We start from the raw sequence: 24240 nt of genomic DNA on the forward strand, positions 1-24240 counted from the left end.
ATTTGCTGCTCTCCAGTGACTTCCAATAATTGTTTATTATTTGTCCAGCATTTGCAACTGTCATTGGCAGAAGGGTTGGTCTGATACAAGTGACTCCATCATGACCAGAATTGCAGGTCCCCTCCCACATCTAATCCACCACTAAGGCCTGCTTCTTAATAGCTCTTGTTCGGCTTTGGTTGAGACAGGGTTTTGCTCTGCCGCCTAGGCTGGAGTGCAGTGGCGTGATCACTGCAGCCTCCAACTCCTGGGATCAAGCAGTCCTCCTGCCTTGGCCTTCCAAAGTGCTGGGATTACAGGCGTGAGCCACTGTGCCTAGCCTGAATAGCTCTTAAATCTATCCACTTTTCTTCCTCTGCACACCTGACACCCTAGTCCTGCTGCCCTCTTCTCCACCTGGACAACCTCGCCCACCCCCAAGTTGGTTTCCCCTCATCTACTCTTGCTTCCTTTCAGTCTATCTTCTGTCCTGAGGTCAGAATAATTTGTTAAAAATATAAATGGGGGCCGGGCGCGGTGGCTCACGTCTGTAATCCCAGCACTTTGGGAGGCCGAGGTGGGTGGATCACGAGGTCAAGAGTTCGAGACCAGCCTGGCCAACATGGTGAAACCCCATCTCTACTAAAAATTCAAAAAAATTAGCCGGGCATGGTGGCGGGTGCCTGTAATCTCAGTTTCTTGGGAGGCTGAGGCAGGAGAATCACTTGAACCTAGGAGGCGGAGGTTGCAGTGAGCTGAGATCGCACCATTGCACTCCAGCCTGGGCAAAAAGAGCGAAACTCCATCTCAAAAATAAATAAATAAATAATTGCGATCATGACATTCGCTGTTTAAAATCTTCTGTGATGCCCCAGTGCTCCCAGGACAATGTCTAGAAACCCCTGTGTAACATGCCCCTGCCAAGCTTTCCAGCTCATCTCGCCCCACTGTACTGTTTCCTTTGTCCAGCCACACTGCTTTTGGCCACCTTTGTATCTGCTGCTCCCTCTGCTGGAAAACCCTTTCCACTGTTTTTTTTTTTTTTTGCAGGATCTCGCTCTGTCACCCAGGCTGGGGTACAGTGGTGCGATCATAGCTTACTGCAGCCTCCACCACCTGGGCTATAGTGATCCTCCCGCCTCAACCTCCCAAGGAGCTGGGATCACAGGCATGTACCATCACATCTGGCTAATTTTTTAATTTTTTTGTAGAGTCATGTTGCCTAGGCTGGTCTGAAACAATCCTCCCACCTGGGCCTCCCAAAGTGTTGGGATTACAGGCGTGAGCCACTGCACCCAGCCTCCATTAGCTGTTTAATAGTCTGATTCCTACTCATCCTTCAAGATCCAGCTTAGCTGTTGCTTCCCCTAGGAAACCTTCCCTGACCTGAGTCAGGTATCTCCTCTAGGGTCCCACAGCTCCTACTCTTCCCTCATCCCAGCCCTGACCCCTCTGCCTGTGTTTCCCCCTTCATAGCCCAGACAAATCTATTAGGTTGGTGCAAAAGTAATTGTGGTTTCTGCCATTGCTTTTAATGGCAAAAGCCACAATTACTTTTGCATTAACCTAATAATCAGTCACTGTCTGGTGATGGATGGGTCTGTCACCCCTACACACACACACACACACACACACACACACACACACACACACACACACACACAGGACTGTGAGTCCCATGGAGTCAGGCAGGGCACAAGGCTGTCTTGGTCCCTGCTGTGTTCCCAGCATCATGTAAGTACTGAGTGCAGTTTAACCAACTATGCAAGTTGCCACAAGCAGGGTACAATGGCATTAGAAATGGGGATGAGGCCGGGCACGGTGGCTCACGTCTGTAATCCCAGCACTTTGGGAGGCTGAGGCGGGCAGATCACCTGAGGTCAGGAGTTCAAGATCAGCTTGACCAACATGGAGAAACCTCATCTCTACTAAAAATACAAAATTAGCTGGGCGTGGTGGCGCATGCCTGTAATCCCAGCTACTTGGGAGGCTGAGGCAGAAGAATCGCTCGAGCCTAGGAGGCGGAGGTTGCAGAGAGCCGAGATCGTGGCATTGCACTCCAGCCTGGGCAAGAAGAGTGAAACTCCATCTCAAACGAACAAACAAACAAAAAAAAAAAACAAAAACAAAAGGAAACAAAAAAAAAAAGAAAGAAAAAAGAAAAGAAAAAGGGATGATATAGGTATCTCAGTTATTAGATTCCTGAATTGATAGCTGCTGCTCTAAGCTCCTGGTGGATCCCTGACCACTGCCAACTCTCTCCCCAGGACCCTTCATGTCCCTGTGACCCATCATGGAAAGGGGCAACACCAGGCCCAGCAGCGGACTCCAGGAGTTTGTCCCAGCACTGACCAATATTGTTAAATATTTTCGCTATCATCTCTGATTGAATGCACTACTTAGACCCAAGTATTGGTGCTTTCCTTAAGCACATCTCACCGAGACGGGAAGCCCACATCCTCTCGTCACTTCCTCAAAACAAACATCTGATTTGGCCCCACCAGCGGATTAGTGTTTGAGGTCAGGATGGATGAAAACCAGGCAGAATCAGGATGAATGAAGAACAAAGAAAACCCAGTGCAAACGCAGCACTCTGCTCACTGATGTCACCAACCATGACTAGACTGGCCTTACCCTATTTCCTTCCTCACCAGGTCCAGAAAGAGGAATCTCTTTCACGGATGGATCCATGCACCATGGACCCATTCCTTCCCCACCCTTCCTCTCCTGTGGGAATTTAGGAAAATTTGACCTTTTCTAAGTCTTTTTCTTAAAATGATCAGAGCCTGAAGCCATGAAATTCGACAAAGGGGCTTATGGTTGTTGCCCAGGCTGGTCTTAAACTCTTGGGCTCAAGCGGTTCTCCCGCCTTGGTCTCCCAAAGTGCTTGGATTACAGGCATGAGCCACCACACCCAGCCTATTATGGACATTTCCTCACATTTGTTTTTTCACTGCCCAAGTCAGAGACCATCTATTGCAGAGGATTCTCCCAGCCTACTGCGGCCCATTTAATCTTCCCCTCTTTCGACTTCCCTTAAGAACGTCAAGTCTTTGCTTGAATCCTGGCCCCTCAGTATCTATTGCTTGGACCATCTCCCGTCCCAATGGATTGGGCAGGACCATCTCCTGCCCAGTCAGATGGACAAACATCACTGAGACATCTCATCTATGTCTCATGCATGCGTGTGAGCTTGTTAAGGGCAGAGTTGCAAGTTATACATAACAACCATACATACAAACATGCAGGATGGGGATTGGGTTAAGGATGAAAGTAATTGTGTCGTTGGGGTGGGGATTTGGGTAGTCTGAGATAAGGATGGGGTTGATTTGGGGATGGGGTTGGAACTGTGCTTGGAACAGGGCTGGGTTTGAGTTGGGAACAGTGTTAGGGTAACATGAAGTTGGGCATAGGATTGGAGGTGAAGTTGAGTTGGGGTTGGATATGGGGTCAAGAATGAGTTGGGGATGGAGCTGAGCTAGAGATGGGTTGGGTTGGGGTTGGGACTTGGATAAGGCATGGAGTTGGGGTTCAGCTGATGTAAAGTTAAGAATAGGATTGGGATGATGATGAGGTTGAGCTGGGGATGGCTTGGGGTTGGGGATGGCAAGGGCTGCCCTACTCACCAGAGTTGCCCTGGTTGCACAAGTCTAACCCACACACAACCTCGGTAAGGCTGGTGATCTTCAAGCCAGTCCGATAGCTCAGGGTCCTGTTGGTCTTCTCTGAGTGGGTACAGCTTTTCTCCACCAGCTCCAGCTCTTCTCCTTCTGCAAGGAGGGGATCTTCATTACCCCAGAGGCTCCTCTCAGCTCAACCAGCCTCTGACACTCCTGGTCTCAAGGTCATCCACTCCCAGGGCTGATCTCTGCTAGGCCTCTTCTGTTATTTGAGTCGAACTCTGTCTTTTTCTAGAGTTAACCTTGCCTCCACCCCCACCCCAACAAGGAGCCTGCTCTATTTTATTTCAATTAATTAATTAATTAATTTTTTTTTCCGGGAGACAGGGTCTTGCTCTGTCACCCAGGCTGGAGTGGTGCAATCATAGCTCACTGGAGCCTTGACCTCCCAGGCTCAAGCAGTCCTGCTTCGGCCTCCCGAGTAGCTGGAACCACAGGCTTACATCACCACACCCTGCTAATTTTTAAATTTTTTATACAGATGGCATCTCACTATGTTGCCCAGGCTGATCTCAAACTCCTGGCCTCAAGTGATCCTCCCACCTTGGCCTCCCAAAGTGCTGGAATTACAGGTGTGAGCCACTGTGTCCCACTCCTGCTCTTGTAGTGACAGCACTACAACTGGGACTTTCTGGATCCATCTATCCCTCCCCCACACCCTCAGCTTAGTGATCTCAGTACTGAGATGCCTCAAATGTAACTTTATTTTATTTATTTATTTATTAGAAACAGGGTCTCTGTTGTCCCAGCTGGGGCAATCATAGCTCACCACAACCTCGAACTTCTGGGCTCAAGGAATCCTTCTGCCTTAGCCTCCTGAGTAGCTAGGGGTACAAATGTGAGCTACTGTGCTTGGCTTCATATACTGTTGTTTCATGTGTTCTTAAAGCTTATAAAAAACGTATCATATTCTGCAACATTTTTTTCCCTCTCAACCTTAGGTTTCTGAGATGTGTCCACATTGGTATCTGCAGCTCTATTTCCTTCTTTAAGCTGCAGTAGAGCGCTCCATTATGTAATTATTACCACAGTGTTTCTCTTCTGCTGCTGACTTGCTGACTGACATAAAGTCGTTTCCATTTTCTTCTTTTCTTTCTTTCTCCCCTTCCTTCCTCCCTCCTCCCTCCCTCCCTCCCTGCCTCTCTCCGTCCCTCCCTCCCTTCCTCTCTCTCTTTCTCTCTCTCTCTCTTCCTTTCCTTTCTTTCTTTCTTTCTTGAGATGGAGTTTTGCTCTTGTCGCCCAGGCTGGAGTGCAATGGCACAATCTCAGCTCACTGCAACCTCCGCCTCCTGGGTTCAAACAATTCTCCTGTCTCAGCCTCCCGAGTAGCTGGGATAACTGGTGCCTGCCACCAAGCCCGGCTAATTTTTGTATTTTTTAGTAGAGACAGGGTTTCACCATGTTGGCCAGGCTGGTCCTGAACTCCTGACCTCAGGTAATCCACCTGCCTCAGCCTCCCAAAGTGCTGGGATTACAGGTGTGAGCCACCATGCCCGGCCCACCTTTCTCTCTTTCGTTCATTTTTTTGACAGGATCTCGCTCTGTCGCCCAGGCTGGAGTGCAGTAGCATGATCTCAGCTCACTGCAACCTCCACCTCCCAGGTTCAAGCAATTCTCCTGTCTCAGCCTCCCAAGTAGCTGAGATTACAGGTGCGTGCCACCACACTCGGCTAATTTTTCCTTTTTTGTGTGTGTGTGGAGACGGGTGTTTCACCATGTTGGCCAGCCTGGTCTTGAACTCCTGACCTCAAGCAATTCATCCGCCTCTGCCTCCCAAAGTGCTGGAAATACAGGTGTGAGCCAGTGCCCAGCCTGTTTCCAATTTTCCATGTCACAAACATTGCTGCTAAGAACATTCGTATACATGTGTCCCTGGGTATATGTGGCCAAGGTTCTTTGGCATTTCTGCATGGCGAGGAGTTGAGCTGTAGCATATGTTAATCTTCATCTGGACTAGATATTGCCGAATCGCTCTAAGTGGTTGATGTGCCAATTTACTCCCCCACCACAGACACGGTCTGCAACTCCACATCCTTACTAACCCGGGTATTGTCAGATTTTTAAATGCTTGCCAATCTGGTGGGTGTGAAATGGGCTCTCCTTGTTTGTTTGTTTTTAGTTTGCATGTCCCAGTTACTGGTGAGGAAGGTTTCTCAATCACTCGCGTTCCATGCTGCGCTGGAGGGGTGTGTGGGTTGGGGGGAAGCTCACCTTCCCACAAGCGCACGATCGTGGTCCTGCAGAGGTCCTGTCCCAGGGCGCACTCTTCCACACGGCAATCCCCGTTGGTCTTACACTGCATGCACCGCAGGCCCCAAGAGGCTGGGGGAAGGAGGGAGAGGAGAGGAGAGGTTAACTACGCTTAGCTCCAAGACCCCCGCTCACCCCTGCATGTCCCAATACCAACACCAAGTCTCCAGGCCCCGTCCATTCAGATTCGTGTCCATGTTCTGCTGGGTTCCGGCCGGCGGTACTTCCAGTCTGTCCGTTGTCCACGTTCTACCTCCACCCCACTAACTGAACGTTCTATCCCTGCCCACAAGTCCTTTCCCAAAGTCCTGCCTTGGCCCGTTTTTCCTTTCATTCTGTCCTCGTGAGGCGTATATCCTGACAGTCGTATCCCCGCCCTCTCTATCAGTACGTTCTATTCCTGCTCCTATTAGGTCTTTCTCACCGCACCGGCCCTCGGTCGATTACGCCTCTCCAGTTCTGCTGGGGACGTTCTAGCCTTGCCCCACCCGCGTCGATCTTTATGTTATACCGTCACTCCCAGTGCCCTAATGGAACTATCCCTCCACTCACTCCCCCTGGTTCTACCCGGCTCCAGAGCCTCTCCCGGCCCACTAATTTATTCCCAAATTCTAGGCCCGGCCCCATCAGCCCTCCGGAGTTTCTATTGTTAGATACTCTAGTTTCCCGCGAAGTTCTGTCTCCGCCCTCCAGCTCTCCAACTAGGTTTTGGCCCCGCTCCAGACTCATCGTCGAGGTTCTAGCCCCGCCCTTTAGCTCTTCCTGACCTTATCTTCCCGCCCCCTAGCTCCTCCCCGATGCCATAACCCCGCCCCTAGCTCCTCCTCGAGGCTTTAGTCCCTCCCTCTAGCTCCTCCTTGAGATTCTAACTTCGCCCTTTAGCTCTCCCCGCCCCTAGTTTTCCCCTGAGGTCATAACTCCGCCCCAGTCCCTTCTTGAGGTTTCAGCCCCACCCTGTAGCTCCTCCCCGAGGTCGTAACCCCCGCCCCTTGGCCCCTTGAGGTCCTAGCCCAGCCCCGTAGCTCCTCCCCAAGCTTATAACCCCGCCCCTAGCCCCTCCTTGAGGTTCCAGCCCCGCCCTCTAGCTCCTCCCCGAGGTTATAATCCTGCCCCTCAAGAGTCTAGTCCCACCTTCTAGCTCCTCCCGAGGTTATAACTCCGCCCTCTGGTTACGCCTCGAGGTTATAACCCCGCCCTCTGGCTCCGCCTCGAGGTTCTAGCCCCGCTCCTAGCTCTTCCTCGGTCTGTAACCTCTCCCGTAGCTCTTCCTTGAGGTTCCAGCCCCGCCCTCTGGCTCCTCCCCGACACTCTCTCCCCGCCCCAGGCTCCGCCCCGAGATTGCAGCCCAGTCCCTAGGCCCGGTCCCCGACCTCCGGGCCTTCCCGGACATCCCTTTCCAGCTGCGCGTTCGGAGTATCCCGGAGCTGTTACTCATTCCCGGCCTCCCGCGGTCTCGAGCGCTTTCCGGGTTATTCATCGCGGCCCCAACACCCTGTGGCCACCCGCCCTGACTCAGTTCCTTCTCGAATTCCTCGACCCAGAGCCCCCCACATTTTCCGGGGAAGTAAGTGAGAGTCGCCTCAGTGAGAGGGAAAGGTCCTGAGGGACAGTCCCGGGTCTCCAGCACTGGCTCTGCGCCGCTCAGTCAGCCTCCCTTTGGGCCTTTTGTAAAAGGGGGTCCTGTCCCCCCGTTTCTCAGAGGGGGAGACCCAGCAGCGTGGAGAGCGCTGGGGGGCGCTGCAGGGTCAGATCCTGCGTATTCAAGCACTGGCTGTGTGATTTTAGGCCAGTTATCTAACCTCTCTGTGCCCTAGTTTCCTCTGCGAAACGAAATTAATAAAGTCCCATCGCCTAGTTTGAAATTGCAAGGAAGAGGCTTCGAAGAACTCCATTTAAAAAAAGAACACTTGGGCCGGGCGCGGTGGCTCACGCCTGTAATCCCAGCAGTTTGGGAGGCCGAGGCAGGTGGATCATCTGAGGTCAGGAGATTGAGACCATCCTGGCTAACAGAGTGAAACCCGGTCTCCACTAAAAATACAGAAATTAGCCGGGCGCGATGGCAGGCGCCTGTAATCCCAGCTACCCAGGAGGCTGAGGCAGGAGAATCGCTTGAACCCGGGCGGCAGAGGTTGCAGTGAGCCGAGATCGCGCCACTGCACTCCAGCCTGGGCGACAGAGTGAGACTCTGTCAAAAAAAAAAAAAAAAAAAAAAAAGCACTCACTAAATTATGTAAAGCTAAATGCCTTTGCTCCACTAATATTTCCTTAGCTACTGAGTGCCAGGTACTGCGCCGCGTGGCGTTGCACAAAGCACGAGAATTACTATTATTTGATTAGGGAGGATGCTGAGGACTGAACCGCATTCCTCCAACTCATCCTCTGACAACCCCCAACCCCCTCAATTAGACCCTGTTCCAGGCGCAGGCGTTCGGGACCCAGCCCCTACCTGGGACGCAGGTGTGGAGCAGCAGCAGCAGCGGCAGCAGCGGCGGGTGACCCATGTCGCGAGGGCAGCTCCTGTGCGCGGGGTCCCTGCACGTCTTCTCTCCTTCTGGCCTCAGGAAGGAGGCAGTTTTGTGGCCCCAGGGACTCCTCCCAGACGTTTTGCGAAAGAGCGAGTCAGCCCCAGATGCGTGGGCGCCTCCCCCTCCTCCCGTACGAACCTCCTCCGCCACAAACTTCCCTTCCCGGGGCGCGGCCGGCTGGTGGTGAAGGGGCTGGCTCGGCCCTGACTCATGGAGTTGTGATCACAGCTCTGTCCCCAGATTGCCTGGGTGCAAATCCCAGTTCTCTCTCTTCCTAACGTGGGACCCGGGGCAATCGCTCTCCACTGCTGTAAAATGAGGATAAAAACTTTGACGGTAAATATGAATGTGGCTGATTATTTGGCTAACAGGATTTTTGTTAGTTTTGTCAGGAGGGATACTGGTATTTTGGAAAATGTCCTTATCTAGAGATGCATCCTGAAATATGCATCTCTTAAACACTTAAAACACTTAACCCTTGCTTTGCTTCCCGCTGTGCCCCCAGCTCCTGGACCAGTGCCCAGCACGAAGTAGGTCCTTGGTAAATGTTAAAGGAATGTGTTGAGCCCTCCATTTTGGCCAGCAGCTATTCCAGGCATTGCACCTACATTAAAACACTTAATGGTGAAACCCCGTCTCTACTAAAAATACAAAAATTAGCCGGGCGTAGTGGCGTGTGTGTGTTACTTAGGAGGCTGAGGCAGGAGAATCGCTTGAACCCGGGAGGCGGAGGTTGGGTTGCAGTGAGCCGAGATCGTGCCACTGCACTCCAGCCTGGCAACAGAACAAGACTCCTTCTCACAGAAAAAAAAAAAAAAAAAAAAAAAGACACTTCAGCCAAAAAAGTAGATATCACTGTTACGACAATGGCTGTATGCTTAGGTGGGATTCTGGTTTTTGTTTGTTTGTTTGTTTTTGCAGATGCTTACTAGAGTATTTAGTGGTGAATGTTATTGATGTCTGCATTTTTTGTTGTTGTTGTTTTGGGGATTTTTGTTTTGTTTTTTCTTTTTCTTTTGTTTTCATTTTGATGTCTGTATTTATTTTATAATATTTTAGAAGAGGTCAGATGAGGTGGCTCATGCCTGTAACACCAATGCTTTGGGAAGCCAAGGCAGGAGGATCACTTGGGGCCAGGAGTTCAAGATCAGCTTGGGAAACATAAAGAGCCCTCATCTTTCCAAAAGAAATTAAAAATAAAATAAAATTAGCTGGGTGCAGTGGCCCGTACTTGTAGTCCTAGGTAGTTGGGAGGCTAAGGTGGGAGGACCGCTTGAACCTGGGAACTGGAAGCTGCAGTGAGCTATGATTGCACCACTGCACTCCAACCTGGGCAACAGAGCGAGACCCTGTCTCAAAAAAATAATAAATAAATAAATACTTGAGTAGAAAATAAAGGCAAAATAGCCAAATGGTTGTATCAATTATATAAAGGTAATCAGTATATAAGGGCATATTATGCCATTCTGTCTCCTTTTCTGTGGGTTTGAAAAGGCTTATAATAAGTTTTTTCTTTCTTTTTATTATTTATTTATTTATTTATTGAGACGAAGTCTCACTCTGTCACCCAGGCTAGAGTGCAGTGGTGCAATCTCGGCCACTGCAATCTCCGCCTCCTGGGTTCATGCAATTCTCCTGCCTCAGCCTCCTGAGTAACTGGGATTACAGGGGCACGCCAGCACACCCGGCTAATTTTTGTATTTTTAGTAGAGATGGGGTTTCACCATGTTGGTCAGGGTGGTCTCGAACTCCTGACCTCAGGTGATCCACCTGCCTTGTCCTTCCAAAGTGCTGGGATTACAGGCATGAGCCACTGCACCTGGCCAAGTTTTTTTTTTTTTTAAGTAAAATAAAATACTAAAGATAAAATTGTCTCCCCGTCTTAGGATGCATCTAACTAAACAGAGCAATTTAATGTAGGTGCAATGCCTGGAATAGCTGCTGGCCGAAATGGAGGGCTCAACACATTCCTTTAACATCTACCAAGGACCTACTTTGTGCTGGGCACTGGTCCAGGAGCTAGGGGCACAGCAGGACGCAAAGCAAAGTTCCCACCTTTTGTTGTGTTGACAGTGGGGAGCAGATATGTGTTATCTAATCTTTCACTGTCTGAGAGGGATAAGCAAACTGGAGAAAACAAAGCAGGCTGAAGGAAGTATCTGGGTGCAAATGAGGTGTGAGCTGTTTTAGGTGGGTGATCCAGGAGGGGTTCCCTGAGCAAGTGGCATTCAAGCAGAGGCTGAATGCAGTGAGGGAAGAAGTAGGGCAGATGGGCAGGGAACCTTTCCAAGGAGCAGGAACAACCAGTGCAAAGGCCTTGAGGTGGAAGCCTGATGAGATTCTAGGAACAGAAGAGATGTCAGTGTGGCTGGAACAGATTAGGAGAGGAAGAGAGTCGTAGGGGATGAGTAAGTGGTAGCTACTTCTACTGCTGTAATAATGATTATACTATGTGATTTGTTGTCGTTGTTGTTGTTGTTTTTGAGACAGAGTCTCACTTTGTCTCCCAGGCTGGATGCAATGGCGTGGTCTCGGCTCACTGCAACTTCCACCTCCCAGGTTCAAGGGATTCTCATGCATGCCTGGCTATTTTTTTTTTTTTTTTGAGTCGGAGTTTCTTTCTTGTTACCCAGGCTGGAGTGCAATGGCACGGTCTCGGCTCACTGCAACTTCTGCCTCCCAGGTTCAAGAGGTTCTCCTGCCTCAGCCTCCTGAGTAGCTGAGATTACAGGCATTCTCCACCATGCCTGGCGAATTTTTTGCATTTTTAGTAGAGATGGGGTTTCACCATGCTGGCCAGACTGGTCTTGAACTCCTGACTTCAGGTGATCCACCCGCCTCAGCCTCCCAAAATGCTGGGATTACAGGCTTGAACCACTGCGCCCAGCCCTAATTTTTGTATTCTTAGTAGAGATGGGGTTTCGCCATGTCGGCTAGGCTGGTCTCGAACTCCTGACTTCAGATGATCAACCTGCCTCAGCCTCCCAAAGTGCTGGGATTACAGGGGTGAGCCACCGCACCCGGCCCTAATTTTTGTATTGTTAGTAGAGATGGGGTTTCACCATGTCTGCCAGGCTGGTCTCTAACTCCTGACTACAGGTGATCCACCCACCTTGGCCTCCCAAATTGCTGAAATTACAGACATGAGCTACCGCTTCCAGCCTGTACTATGTGATTCTTACTAACTCATTGAAGCTGTAAGCTAATGATTTTAAGATAAGGTTAGAAAACAAAAAACAAAAAAACTCCCAATGGTGAGCACAGTGGTTCATGCCTATAATCTCAGCACTTTGGGAGGCGAAGGCTGGAGGATTGCTTGAGCTCAGGGGTTCGAGACCACCCTGGGCAACATAGTAAGACCTTGTATCTATAAAAAAATAAAATTACAGCCTGGACAACATAGCGAGACCTTGTCTCTATGAAAAATAGAAAAATTAGCCAGGTGTCGTGGTGCACACTTGTGGTCTCAGCTACTCTCTGGTTGAGGTGGGAGGATCACTTGAGCCCCAGGGGTTTGAGGCTGCAGTGAGCCAAAATCGAGCTACTGAACTCGAGCCTGGGCAACAAAAGTGAGACTGAAAAAAAAAAAAAAAAGAACTCCCAGAGAATTTCCTAAGAGGTAGTATAGCCCAATGGTTAAGAGTGTGGGAGCTGGTCTCAGATTGTGAAAATCTAAATTGCATCTACATATTGGCTGTGTCACCTCTAGCAGGTTACTTAATCTATCTCTGTGCCCAAGCCCCTTATCTGGAAAGTAGAGATAGCAAGTATCACCCTCCCAGGGCTGGTGTACTGCGGAGGTAAAAGAATCCACCTAAAATGACTGAGCATGGTGGCTCATGTCTATAATACCAGTGCTTTGGGAGACCAAGGCAGGTGGATCACTTGAGGTCAGGAGTTCAAGACCAGCCTGGCCACCATGGCAAAACCCTGTCTCTACTAAAAAATACAAAAAAATTAGCTAGGTGTGGTGGCATGCACCTGTAGTCCCAGCTACGCAGGAGGCTGAGGCACGAGAATTGCTTGAACCTGGGAGGCAGAGATTGCAGTGAGCCGAGATCGCACCACTCCACTCCAGCCTGTGCGACAGAGCTAGACTCCATCTAAAACAAACAAACAAACAAACAAAAAGAAGAATGCTCCTAAGATGCTTGCCACAGTGCCTGGTACATAGTATGTGCTCAATAAAAGCGATAGCTGCCAGTATTATCATTGTTGCAACTCTGGACATTCACCTCTTCCTGGAGTAGGAAGGGAGATGGAGGCCTGTCATTGAGTCTGACGTCAACAGTTATCACGCGTCAGCTGCTGAAGTGGGCACTTCCCTGGCTGGGTCACCCTGGGCCAATGACATTCTTCTTTCTGAGCCTCAGTTTTCTCAGCTGGAGAAGGGGATCCCTCTTGGGCTGGTGTGAAAACTAAACTAGATCGGAATGTACATGAGGTGGGGAAATAGACAGTTGGGGTGTTGGTCCAAGCAGGCTTGAGACCCAGCTCAGCCACTTGCTTCTGGGTGACCCTGGGCAGATGGCTTCACTCCATCAATCCCCGGCTTTGCCACCTATGAAATGGGTCTGGGGTGGGTAGGGGGCATCTCTCAGTGAAGAGAAAACTCAGGTTTGAGGGTCATGCGGAGCTGTGTGCTGTGCTGCTACCACTTCCTGGTGGGATGACCTCACTTCTCTAAGCCACAATTTCCCAATTTCCCTTTTTTTTTTTTTTTTTTTTTTTTTGAGACAGAGGCATGATCATAGCTCACTGCTGCCTTGAACTCCTGGGCTCAAGCGAAACTCCCACTTCAGCCTCCTGAGTAGTTGGGACCTAGGGGTGTGCACCACCATGCCTGGCTATTTTCTCATATTTCGTGTTTTTTGTAGAGATGGAGCCTTGGTCTGTTCCCCAGGCTGGTCTTGAACTGCTGGGTTCGAGTGATCCTCCCGCCTTGGCCTCCCAAAGTGGTGGGATTACAGGTGTGAGCCACTATGCTCAGCCAATTTCCTCTTTAACGAATGAGAGGTATTTCAGAGCCCACTCATCCCTGCCCAAGGCTGCCCTCGCCTCCTGAAATTTCTGTCTCTCCCTGTGTCTTTGTCTTTTTCTATCTCTCTGTTTTGTTGTTTTCTTTGTCTCTGTCCCTCTTTCTCTCTCTCAATGCCTATCTCTCTCTCTCTCCAACTCTATCACTTTCTCTCTCTGTACCTCGATCTCTGTATCTGTTTGTCTCTCTCTTCATGTCTTTTTATCTCTGCTTCTCCCTTTTCTCTGTCTCTCCCCATGGCTCTCTTTCTCTTTCTGTGTCATTGTTTCTGTTTCTCTTTCTGATTCTTTCTCTCTGTCTCTCCCTCAAGTGACACACACACACACCTGTAAGGTTCTGCTGACGTGTAAAGGGAAGGGAAATGCAGGGATCAGGACCTGGACACTCTCCAGAAACACGGCAGGGATGTCGGCTCCTTCCTCCTCGTGACTCACCTGGGCCTCACCCAGCTCTTGCCTGCCTGCGGGATCATGGGTGAGGCCCATGGGTTTCGGGGGCTTCCCCAGCCTGTGGAGAGGAGAATTTCAGGCAGAGACAGAGAGGGTGATAGAGGAGGAGGCAAAGAGAGGGAGAGACAGAGAGAGAGAGAGAGAGCTGGGGATAGAGATGGAGGTGGGGAAACGAGGGAGAGGGAGAGAGAAGAGACCCACAGACAGACTGGCTCAGGGGAAATCTGAGATGGGGGTGTGGGGGGAGTGAGAGAGACAGAAAACAGCAACCGAAGAACAAGGACAGGGAGAAAGAAAAATGGGCAAGCAGGGAGAGAGAGAAGATAAGAGACTGACAGAGGAGTTAGAGAAAACAACACACAGTTGCCTTCAGAGAACACAAAATAGACACAGAGATACAGGGACACTGTGTGTGTGCGTGTGTGCATGTGTGCGCGTGTGTGCATGCGTGTGCATGTGTGTGAGTGTACGTGCATGCGTGTGTGCGCACACATGTGTTTGTGTGCATGTGTGTGCATGTGTGTGTGCGCGCACGTGTTTGTGTGCCTGTGTGTGTGTGTGTGCATATGTGCATGTGTGAGTGTGTGTATGCATGCATGTGTGTGAGTGTGCCTGCATGCATGCGTGTGTGTGTGTGTGTGCACCTGTTTGGGGCTCCCTCATCCTCTTGCCACCTGCCATGATGAAGTGACTGCCCTCTGGCCTGGCCGCTGGGAAGGTCCTTCTCTGGTTGGGGAGGTGGGGGGGATGGGGGGTGGCTGAGCTGATGGTAGGGAAAGGGCCATCGCTCATAACCTCCCCTTTCTGGGACGCCTAACAGGCCACACTGATGTGGCTTTCAGATCCTGGCCTGGACACCTCTTAGATGTAGAGGACCTCTCCACTCAGGGCCTCCCTGGGGAGTGGAAGAGCTGGTAAACCCTTGAGTCCAATAACCCTCTTCCCCCGTTTTCCAGGCAGAGAAACTGAGGTCCAAAGGGAAGACTTTTTATTTTTTTGAGATAACGTCTGGCTTTATCGTCCATGCTGGAGTGCAGTGGTGAGATCTCAGCTCACTGCAACCTCCACCTCCTGGGCTCAAGCCATCCTCCCACCTCAGCTGCCCAAGCAGGTGGGATGACAGGCGTGCACTACCACGCCTGGCTAATTTTTGTATTTTTTGTAGAGACAACATTTCACCATGTTCTCCAGGCTGGTCTTGAACTCCTGAGCTCAAGCGATCTGCCCACCTCCACCTCCCAAAGTCCTGGGATTACAGGCATGAGCCACGGCGCCCGGCCTAAAACAGGAGACTTTAAATGAGTTTCTCCCCGTCTCAAGTTTATTGTGTTTGTGTTACAGTGGGTACTGTTTTGAGAGTATTATCTATATTATTGGTGAATCTGTAAATATCCTATTTCGTACACACACACGGAAACTGAGGATTAGAGAGGTGTGGTGGGCTGAGAGATGGTCCCCGAAAATATCCAGGTCCTAAGCCCTGGAGCCTATGGGTGTTACCTTAAAGGAAAAAAGGGTCTTTGCAGATATGATTAAGTTAAGGAACTTAATCAGGAACATTTTCCTAATTATCCAGATGGGCCCTAAGTGTAATCAGAAGTGCCCCTGGAGGAAGGAGGGACAGGGACATTTGACTGTAGACAGAAGAAAAGTAAGTCATGGGAGAGAAGCAGAGGAAAACAGGGTGGGAGACAGAAGGTATTTGCTGCGGGCTTTGATGATGGAGAAATGGCCAAGAACCAAGAAACGTAAGAAATGCAGCTCCTGCTGGAAAACGACAAGGAAATCACTCACCCCGGACATCTCTTGACCAGGGCACTGCTCTGCTGACACCTTGATTTTGATTACATGAGACACATTTTGTACTTCTGACCTCCAGTCTGTGAGAGAATAAATTTCTGTTGTTTTAAGCCACTAGATCTAAGCTAATTTGTTACAGCAAAATAGGACACCAATACAAGAGGTTAACTCACTTGCCTAAATTGAGCTGATATTTTTTATTTTTTGAGACACGGTCTTGCTCTGTTGCCTAGGCTGGAGTGCAACGGCAGGATCATAGCTGATTGCGGCCTCCAGTTCCTGGCCTCAAGTGATCCTCCTGCCTCAGCCTCCTGAGTAACTGGAACTACAGGCCCATGTGACCAAGCCTGGCTGATTTTAGAGAGCTTTTTTGTTTGTTTGTTTGTTTTGAGGTGGATTCTGGCTCTGTTGCCCAGGCTGGAGTACAGTGGTGCAATCTCAGCTCACTGCAACCTCCACATCCCAGGTTCAAGCAATTCTCCTGCCTCAGCCTCCTGAGTAGCTGGGATTACAGATGCCTGTCATCATGCTCGGCTAATTTTTGTATTTTAGTAGAGACGGGGTTTCACTATGTTGGCCAGGCTGGGCTTGAACTCCTGTCCTCAGTTGATCCACTCACCTTGGCCTCCCGAAGTGCTGGGATTACAGGCATGAGCCATCGTGTCTGGCTGCCTGGCTGATTGAATTTTTTTTTTTAATAGAGACGGTGGGGGAGGGTGGGGGGTCTCACTATGTTGCCCAGGCTGGTCTTGAACTCGTGGCCTCCATCATTCCTCCAGTGTTGGCCTCCCAAAGTGTTGGAATTAATAGGCTTGAACTACCACATCTGGCTTCTAAACTGACTTGTTAGGCCAGGTGTGGTGCCTCATGCTTGTAATCCCAGAACTTTGGGAGGCCGAGGCGGAAGGATCACTTGAGGTCAGGATTTCAAGATCAGCCTGGCCGACATGGTGAAACCCCGTCTCTACTTTAAAAAAATATAAAAATTAGCCTGGTATGGTGGCAGGTGCCTGTAATCCCAGCTACTCAGGAGGCTGAGGCATGAGAATCACTTGAACCCGGGAGGTGGAGGTTGCAGTGAGCCGAGAACGCGCCACTGCACTCCAGCCTAAACAACAGGGCGAGACTCTGTCTCAAAAATAAATAAATAAATAAATAAAATAAGATAAACTGACTTGCTAAGTGTAGTGTCAGGATTTGAACCCCTGCATTCTGGCTCTGTTTCCTACACTTACACCCACCATGCTGAGGGGTGCTGCCCTGGAGTAGGGCAAGCAAAGACTAGGAGCTATTAATAGAAGTTTCATCCTGTTCTCTCCCAGCTCCCGCCTCTTTCCATCTCATCCTTCAGCAGCCTTCTTTGCTATGCCTCTCTCTGGCTTCATGGTATTAGGGGTGACTTGGAAAGAAGCAGGGACCAGAGGAATAATATTCACTGAGTTTGTGTAAAGAAAAAAGCTTTCCTTGCCTCTAGCACCTTGCAGCTCTTTTATTCCACCGCCTAGATGCAACAGCAGAAATCATCTTTGCAATTCAAGGCCTAATATTCTGAATATATAAGGAGCTCCTGTTATGGGTTGAATTGCTTCCCCTCCACACCAGAAAAACATAGGTTGAAGTCCTAACCCCCAGTACTCAGAATGTGACCTTATTTGGAAATAGGGCTGTTGCAGATATAATTAGTTAAGTTGCAGTCATACTGAAGTAGGTTGGGCCCCAAATCACTATGACTGGCATCCTTATAAGAACGTGGCCCTAGGCCGGGCGCGGTGGCTCACGCCTATAATCCCAGCACTTTGGGAGGCTGAGGTGGGTGCATCACCTGAGGTCAGGAGTTTGAGACCAGCCTGGCCAATATGATGAAACCCCATCTCTACTAAAAATACAAAAATTAGCCAGGCGTGGTGGCGCGTGCCTGTAGACCCAGCTACTTGGGAGGCTGAGGCAGGAGAATCGCTAGAACCCATCAGGCAGAGGCTGCAGTGAGCCGAGACTGTGCCACTGCACTCCGGCCTGGGTGACAGAGTGAGACTCCATCTCAAAAAAAAGAAGAAGGTGGCCCTGTGACGACAGAGAGACACAGGAATAATGCCATGTAAAGACAAAGGAAGAGAGTGGAGCTAGGCAGCTGCAAGCCAAGGACCGCCAAAGATTGCCAGAAAGCCACTGCTGCTGGGAAGAGCCAGGTAGGAGTCCTCTATGGGTTTATGGCCCTGATGACACCTTGATCTTGGACTTCTGGACTCTGGACTGTAAGACAATACATTTGTCGTTCTGACCCACCCAGTCTGTAGTACTTTGTTACAGCAGCCATAGGAGGCTAACAGAGCTTCTATGAATCAATTGGGTGGAGCACAGTGGCTCACGCCTGTAATCCCAGCACTTTGGGAGGCCAAGATGGGTGGATTGCCTGAGCTCAGGAGTTCGAGACCAGCCTGGGCAACACCATGAAACCCCGTCTCCACTAAAATACAAAAAATTAGCTGGGCATGGTGGAGTGCACCTGTAGTCCCAGCTACTTGGGAGGCTGAAGCAAGAGAATTGCTTGAACCTGGGAGGCGGAGGTTGCAGTGAGCTGAGATTGCACCACTGCACTCCAGCCTGGGGGACAGGGTGAGACTCGTCTCAAAAATAATAATAATAATAATAATAATAATAATAATTAATAGAGGACAGGAAAAGAAGCACAAATGACCCCTATAAAAATGACACTAACCAGTCACAGTGGCTTACGCCTGTAATCCCAGCACTTTGGGAGGCTGAGGCACGAGGATCGCTTGAGCCCAGGAGTTCCAGACCAGCCTAGGCAACAAAGGGAGACCTTGTCTCTATAAAATAAAAAAAGGTTAGCCAGGCGTGGTAGGACATGCCCATCTTCCCAGCTACTCAGGAGGTTAAGGAAGGAGGATCTCTTGAGCCCAAGAGTTCAAGACTGCAATGCGCTATGATTGTGCCACTGCACTCCAGCATGGGTGACAGAGTGAGACTATGCTCTAAAAAAAATTAGTCAATAAGAGAGACCCCAGAGATCTGTTTCGTCCCTTCTAACAGGTGAGGATGCAGCAAGAAAATGCCTTCCATGAACCAGAGAGCAGGATCTTGCCAGACACTAAATCTACTGGTGCCTTGACCTAGGATTTCCCAGCCTCCAGCACTGTGAGAAATAAATGTCTATTGTTTATAGGTATTCAGTTTGACAGATGGTCTTATTTATATGTCTGGACTCTCAACCGTGATGTTTGGGGTGCTGGGAGCCTCTCTCCTCAAGATTTCTCACCCTGCAAGAGGTAAGCCTGGGCTCCTTCATCCAGTGTCAAAGGGTTTTCAGCAGCAAGAAAGTGAGAACAGCAGTGACAAGTTCTTTTTGTTTAAATTTTTAAAACTAATTATTAATTTTATTTATTTATTTATTTATTTATTTATTTATTTATTTATTTATTTTGAGATAGGATCTCTCTCTGTCACCCAGGCTAGAGTGTAGAGGTGAGATGTCGGCTCACTGCAACCTCCATCCCCTGGGCTCAAGCAATTCTCCCACCTCAGCCTCCCGAATAGCTGCGAATACAGGTGCACACCACCATGCCTGGCTATTTTTTTGTATTTTCAGTAGAGACAGGGACTTGCTATGTTGCCCAGACTGATCTTGACCTCCTGAGCTCAAGCAATTCACCCACCTTGGCCTCCCAAAGTGCTGGGATTACAGGGGTGAGCCACTGCACCCGGCCTAATTATTAATTATTATTATTATTATCATTATTATTTTGAGACTCAGTCTTGCTCTGTGGCCCAGGCTGGAGTGCAGTGGTGTGATCTCGGCTCACTGCAACCTCCACTTCCTGGGTTCAAGCGATTCTCCTGCCTCAGCCTCCTGAGTAGCTGTGATTATAGGCACCCGCCATCATGACCAGATAATTTTTGTATTTGTAGTACAGGTGAGGTTTCACCATGTTGGCCAGGCTGGTCTCGAACTCCTGACCTTAAATAATCCACTCACCTCGGCCTCCCAAAATGTTGGGATTATAGGCGTGAGCCACTGCACCCGGCCTAATTATTCTTTTTTGGAAACGGGGTCTCACTGTGTTGCCTACACTGGTCTTGATCTCCTGGGCTCAAGTGATCCCCCTACCGTGCCGCCTCCCAGAGCACTGGGATTACAGAGGTGAGCCATTGCGCCCTGACAAAGCTGCAAGTTCTTGAGGCCAGGAGCTCAAGGCCCAGGCTCAGAACTCATGGGACATCAATATGTCTCATTCTATTGGCCAAACCAAGTTACAAGACCAGCTCAGATTTGAAAGGAGGAGGATCGACGCTATCTCTTGATGGAAGGAGCTGCACAGAACTCGTGGCCACTTGTATTCGACCACACACCTTTTCACCTCTCAGGTTGGCAAAAATAAAACAGTTTGATAATGCATGGAGTTGATGAGGCTGTGGGAAAACAGATACTCCCCATTGTTTCTCCTGGGGGTGTAAACTGGTACAGCCCTATAAGAGGTAATTTTGCAATTGCTCTCAAAATCACAAGTGTGGCAAAACCTTCGTCATTTTCCAAAACCACTCACCACGTCCAGGAACTTGGTGCATGCGTGAAATGATATGGTCACAGGGCTCTTCATTGCAGCATAGTTTGTAACGTCAGATGGGAAAATACTAATGCTACAAGAGGTGCACTTATCCAGCGGAAAAAGAAAGAAGAAACTCTTCATGCAATTCAGGTTACATTATGGCCAAGTTCAAAAATCTAGGGGCAGAACAGTGCAGGGAATACCCCACTGTGCATTAAAGGAGAGAGGCCTGCCCTGGCCAATATGACAAAACCCTGTCTCTACTGAAAATACAAGAATTAGCCAGGCATGGTGGTGGGTGCCTGTAATCCCTGCTACTCGGGAGGCTGAGGCAGGAGAAACGCTTGAACCTGGGAGGCGGAGGTTGCAGTGAGCTGAGATCACGCCACTGCACTCCAGCCTGGGCAACAGAGCGAGAGTCTGTCTCAAAATAATAATAATAATAATAATAATAATAATAATAATAATGAAAAGAAAAAGAAAAGAAAAGAAAAAGGAGAAGGGCATGTGTCTATATTTGCTTGTAGAGTATATGCATTAAATAACTTGTCTGGGCTGGGTGTGCTGGCTCATGCCTGTAATCCTAACACTTTGGGAGGCCAAGGTGGGAGGATTGCTTGAGCCCATGAGTTTGAGACCAGCTTAGGCAACACAGGAAGACTCTGTCCCTACAAAAAAAAAAAAAATAGCTGGGTGTAGTGGTGCGTGCTTGTAGTCCCAGCTACTCAGGAGGCTGAGGTGGGAGGATTGCTTGAGCATGGGAAGTTGAGGCTGCAGTGAACTGAGATTGTGCCACTGCACTCCAGCCTGGGTGACAGAGCTAAACTCTGTCTCAAAATAAAAAATAAAATACAAAACAACTTGTCTGATGCCCCCCTGCCACCACATTTCAAGTGAAGTGCAGGGAAATGTCCCTTCCCTGCATGCCTGCTCTTCATTCTTCAGTCCACAAGCCTCGTGTTTGTGCAGCTCCTGGCCTGTCACCCAGCCCGAGTTATCGGTGACGATAACATCTAGAGAGACTGGCTTCCTCTAGTCATGAAGTGTCAGGCGCTGCTCCCTCCTCCCCAAACTCCAGACTTGGCTGAGGGACTCTCTGTCCCATCTTCTCACCTCTCCTGCACCAAAGGGTTCTTGGTTTACCTGGGAAGGATGTGAGCCAAGTCCCCAGACTTCTCCCTGCCCTAGCACCCCATTGAGAAAAGCCATCTCCCATCCCCAGGCTGCTATCTTTCCTCCTTAGGGTTGGCACCTTCCAGAGTCACCTCCTTGATTGTACACACTGATTGAGGGGCCCCACCTGGGATTCTGGGAAGCCTGGCAGGCCTGTGGGTGACCTTGAACTCGTCCTTTCTCTCGCTTGAGATCTCTCCTCTGAGCCAAGAGGGGAGGTCAACCTCAACTTGTCCCCTTAGCAGCCTTATTTATATTGCTAAATAACGATGATGATGATGATGACAACGACAATGACACAGCAGTTACTGCCCACTGTTCTAAGTGCTCTACATAAATCAACTCAATCCTCACAGCAGCCCTTCGATGGAGGTCCTCCTAGTTGCCCTGTTTTACAAATGAGGAAACTGAGGCCCAGTAGGTAAAATGTCTTGCCCAAGGCCACTTAACTTGGAAGTGGCAGAACTGGAATTTGAACTCGGGTTGTCTGGTTCTAAAGCGTTCATCACCCCTCTGGACGGGTGTGTGGTTTTCTTAAAGCTCACTACTACAAATACCTCCAATCCTAACAGAGCCACCATTAGCATTAGTAAAGAGGCAGGCTGGGTGCCATGGCTCAAGCCTGTAATCCCAAGCACTTTGGGAGGCCGAGGCGGGTGGATCACTTGAGGTCAGGAGTTCGAGACCGCCACCAACATGGTGAAACCCTGTCTCTACTAAAAAAATACAAAAAATTAGCTGGGCATGGTGGCGGGCACCTGTAGTCCTAGCTACTTGGGAGGCTGAGGCAGGAGAATCACTTGAACCTGGGAGGTGGAGGTTGCAGTGAACTGAGATCCTGCCACTGCACTCCACCGTGGGCATCAGAGTGAGAATCCATCTCAAAAAAAAAAAGGAGGGCACTTACAGCAATCCAGGCCCTGGGCTACACCCATTTAGCAGATAAACACACTGAGGCCTGAAATAGGGGAAGGGACATCCCCAGAGTTACACCTCATAGGAGGAGCAGGTGGGGTGTCAAAGCCCATGAAGGGTGGACTTGCCAGGCACCAGGCTGGAAGGCCCCTCATGGGGTGGTTGAAATTGATCTTATTCCCACTGAACAAGTGTGAAAATCAAGGTGGCCCAGGGAGGAGCAGGAGGAGAATGACACGGGTCTCATCCAGAGAGGGCAGATCAATTTCCCTTTTGGTGCAGCCCTGTGCTCAAGCCAGAGACATTTGGGTTCAAATCCTGGTTGTGCTGATTTTCTTATTATGTGCCCCTGGACAAGGCCTTGACTGCTGTGAGCCCTGGTTCCCTTTTTTGTAAAAGAGGGAACCCCAGGGCTGATTTCAGTTGTACTGGTTGTTAAAATATTGAGGTATGTCCAGATTTGGTTGATAAAATTCCCCTGCCTGGAGGCCTTGAGTGCCCTGATGGCATCTCTGGGTCCTCCCAGACATCTTCATATTCTAGAAAGATGAGGGAAAGACCGGGTCCCTGGAGGCCAACAGGCTGCTACTCTAGCAAGTGGGCAGGATTGTTACTACCAATACCCTGGCCTGTATTGACAGGTGGTCAAATATTTTGAGTATCCTCCGTGGGTGGGGTTAATGATAATGGCTGGTAGGACTACTGTAAGGATTTAGTGAGCTAATGTGTGTAATGAGTGATGAGGCAACCCATTATTATTTTATATTATTATTATTATTTCTTTTTTAGAGGAGAGTCTCACTGTCACCAAAGCTGGAGTGCAGTGGTGACATCATAGCTCACTGCAACCTTGAATTCCTGGGCTCAGGCGATTCTCCCACCTCAGCCTCCCTAGTAGCTGGGACTGTAGGTGTGCACCACCACGCCTGGCTAATTTTTATTTTTATTTTTATTTTTTATTTTGAGACACAGTCCCACTCTGTCGCCCAGGCTGGAGTGCAGTGGTGTAATCTTGGCTCACTGCAACCTCTGCCTCCCAGGTTAAAGAGATCCTTGTGCCTCAGCCTCCTGAGTAGCTGGGATTATAGGCATGTGCCACCACACCAGGCTAACTTTTTTTTTTTTTTTGAGACGGAGTCTTGCTCTGTCACTGGGCTGGAGTGCAGTGGTGTGATCCCGGCTCACTGAAACCTCCGCCTCCCGGGTTCTAGCAATTCTATTCTCCTGCCTCAGCCTCCCGAGTAGCTGGGACTACAGGCATGCACCACCACGCCCAGCTAATTTTTTGTATTTTTAGTAGAGACAGGGTTTCACCGTGTTGGCCAGGATGGTCTTGATCTCTTGACCTTGTGATCTGCCTGCCTCGGCTTCCCAATGTGCTGGGATTACAGTCGTGAGCCACCGCGCCAGGCCCTAATTGGCTTTTGCCATCCAGTGTTGGGCCTGGCCTTCTCCCGCAAGGGTGCAAAACAAGTTGGTAAAGATCAGAGAAGCTGGATGGGTAAGCCTGAACTGTGAAGTTAGATTTATCGGCAAAATGATGGGGCTCTTCAGTAACCTCAGGAAATGCCTTGGATATAGCACAGAGTTCAGCTTTAGTTCCAGAGACATAAGAAATCTGAGGACCTCAGTGTCGTTAGACAGCCTGGTCTTAAGGGGATAAGTTTTTATAGGTTGAGGTTGTGAAGCAGAAAGGAAAGGGGTGTTAGTGGGGAAAGACATCAGAAAAGAAAGAAAGAGAAGGGTTAAGAACCAGTAGATAAGGCCTGAGAGAGAAAGATTTGGGGCTTCAAATGCCTTTTTTTTTGGAGACAGAGTCTCGCTCTGTTGCCCAGGCTGGAGTGCAGTGGTGTGATGTCGGCTCAC

The 24240-nt window shown here is 49.5% G+C and overlaps 1 protein-coding gene and 1 long non-coding RNA gene across 19 annotated transcripts in view, besides 5 other annotated features; one reads left to right on the top strand and one right to left on the bottom strand.

Moving 5' to 3' along the window:
• Nucleotides 1–8459, bottom strand: part of PLAUR (plasminogen activator, urokinase receptor) — a 24075-nt gene extending 15616 nt beyond the window's left edge. For 10 of the 18 annotated variants that reach the window (XM_047438934.1, XM_047438935.1, XM_047438926.1 and 7 more), the window contains exons 1-3: nucleotides 8356–8459; nucleotides 5871–5981; nucleotides 3606–3749 (exon numbers count right to left, since the gene is read on the bottom strand). In XM_047438934.1, coding sequence (XP_047294890.1) covers nucleotides 3606–3749; nucleotides 5871–5981; nucleotides 8356–8410 — 310 coding nt within the window. In that variant the 5' untranslated portion in view covers nucleotides 8411–8459. Of the gene's footprint in view, nucleotides 1–3605; nucleotides 3750–5870; nucleotides 5982–6066; nucleotides 6613–8355 lie in introns of those variants that run through there. The other 8 variants (XM_047438929.1, XM_047438930.1, XM_047438931.1 and 5 more) reach the window with 2 other exon arrangements.
• Nucleotides 6958–7187: a silencer, noted in NCBI's record as "silent region_10726". NCBI's record gives its function as "represses an Ori minimal core promoter by ATAC-STARR-seq in GM12878 lymphoblastoid cells {active_cell/tissue: GM12878}" and the evidence as "EXISTENCE:reporter gene assay evidence [ECO:0000049][PMID:35858748]".
• Nucleotides 7054–18908, top strand: LOC124904724 (uncharacterized). The gene is made up of 3 exons (XR_007067264.1): nucleotides 7054–7473; nucleotides 8316–8770; nucleotides 18773–18908. It is a non-coding gene; the product is annotated as an uncharacterized LOC124904724 (long non-coding RNA).
• Nucleotides 7228–7307: a silencer, noted in NCBI's record as "silent region_10727". NCBI's record gives its function as "represses an Ori minimal core promoter by ATAC-STARR-seq in GM12878 lymphoblastoid cells {active_cell/tissue: GM12878}" and the evidence as "EXISTENCE:reporter gene assay evidence [ECO:0000049][PMID:35858748]".
• Nucleotides 8228–8527: an enhancer, noted in NCBI's record as "active region_14731". NCBI's record gives its function as "activates an Ori minimal core promoter by ATAC-STARR-seq in GM12878 lymphoblastoid cells {active_cell/tissue: GM12878}" and the evidence as "EXISTENCE:reporter gene assay evidence [ECO:0000049][PMID:35858748]".
• Nucleotides 13724–13823: an enhancer, noted in NCBI's record as "active region_14732". NCBI's record gives its function as "activates an Ori minimal core promoter by ATAC-STARR-seq in GM12878 lymphoblastoid cells {active_cell/tissue: GM12878}" and the evidence as "EXISTENCE:reporter gene assay evidence [ECO:0000049][PMID:35858748]".
• Nucleotides 17607–18106: an enhancer, noted in NCBI's record as "H3K27ac hESC enhancer chr19:44183469-44183968 (GRCh37/hg19 assembly coordinates)". NCBI's record gives its function as "activates a minimal SCP1, AML or CMV promoter by ChIP-STARR-seq in primed H9 embryonic stem cells {active_cell/tissue: H9 hESC(primed)}" and the evidence as "EXISTENCE:reporter gene assay evidence [ECO:0000049][PMID:30033119]".
• Nucleotides 18909–24240: the final 5332 nt, after the last annotated feature.

This window comes from Homo sapiens, chromosome 19, assembly GCF_000001405.40.
Source record: "Homo sapiens chromosome 19, GRCh38.p14 Primary Assembly".
Classification (NCBI taxonomy): domain Eukaryota; kingdom Metazoa; phylum Chordata; class Mammalia; order Primates; family Hominidae; genus Homo; species Homo sapiens.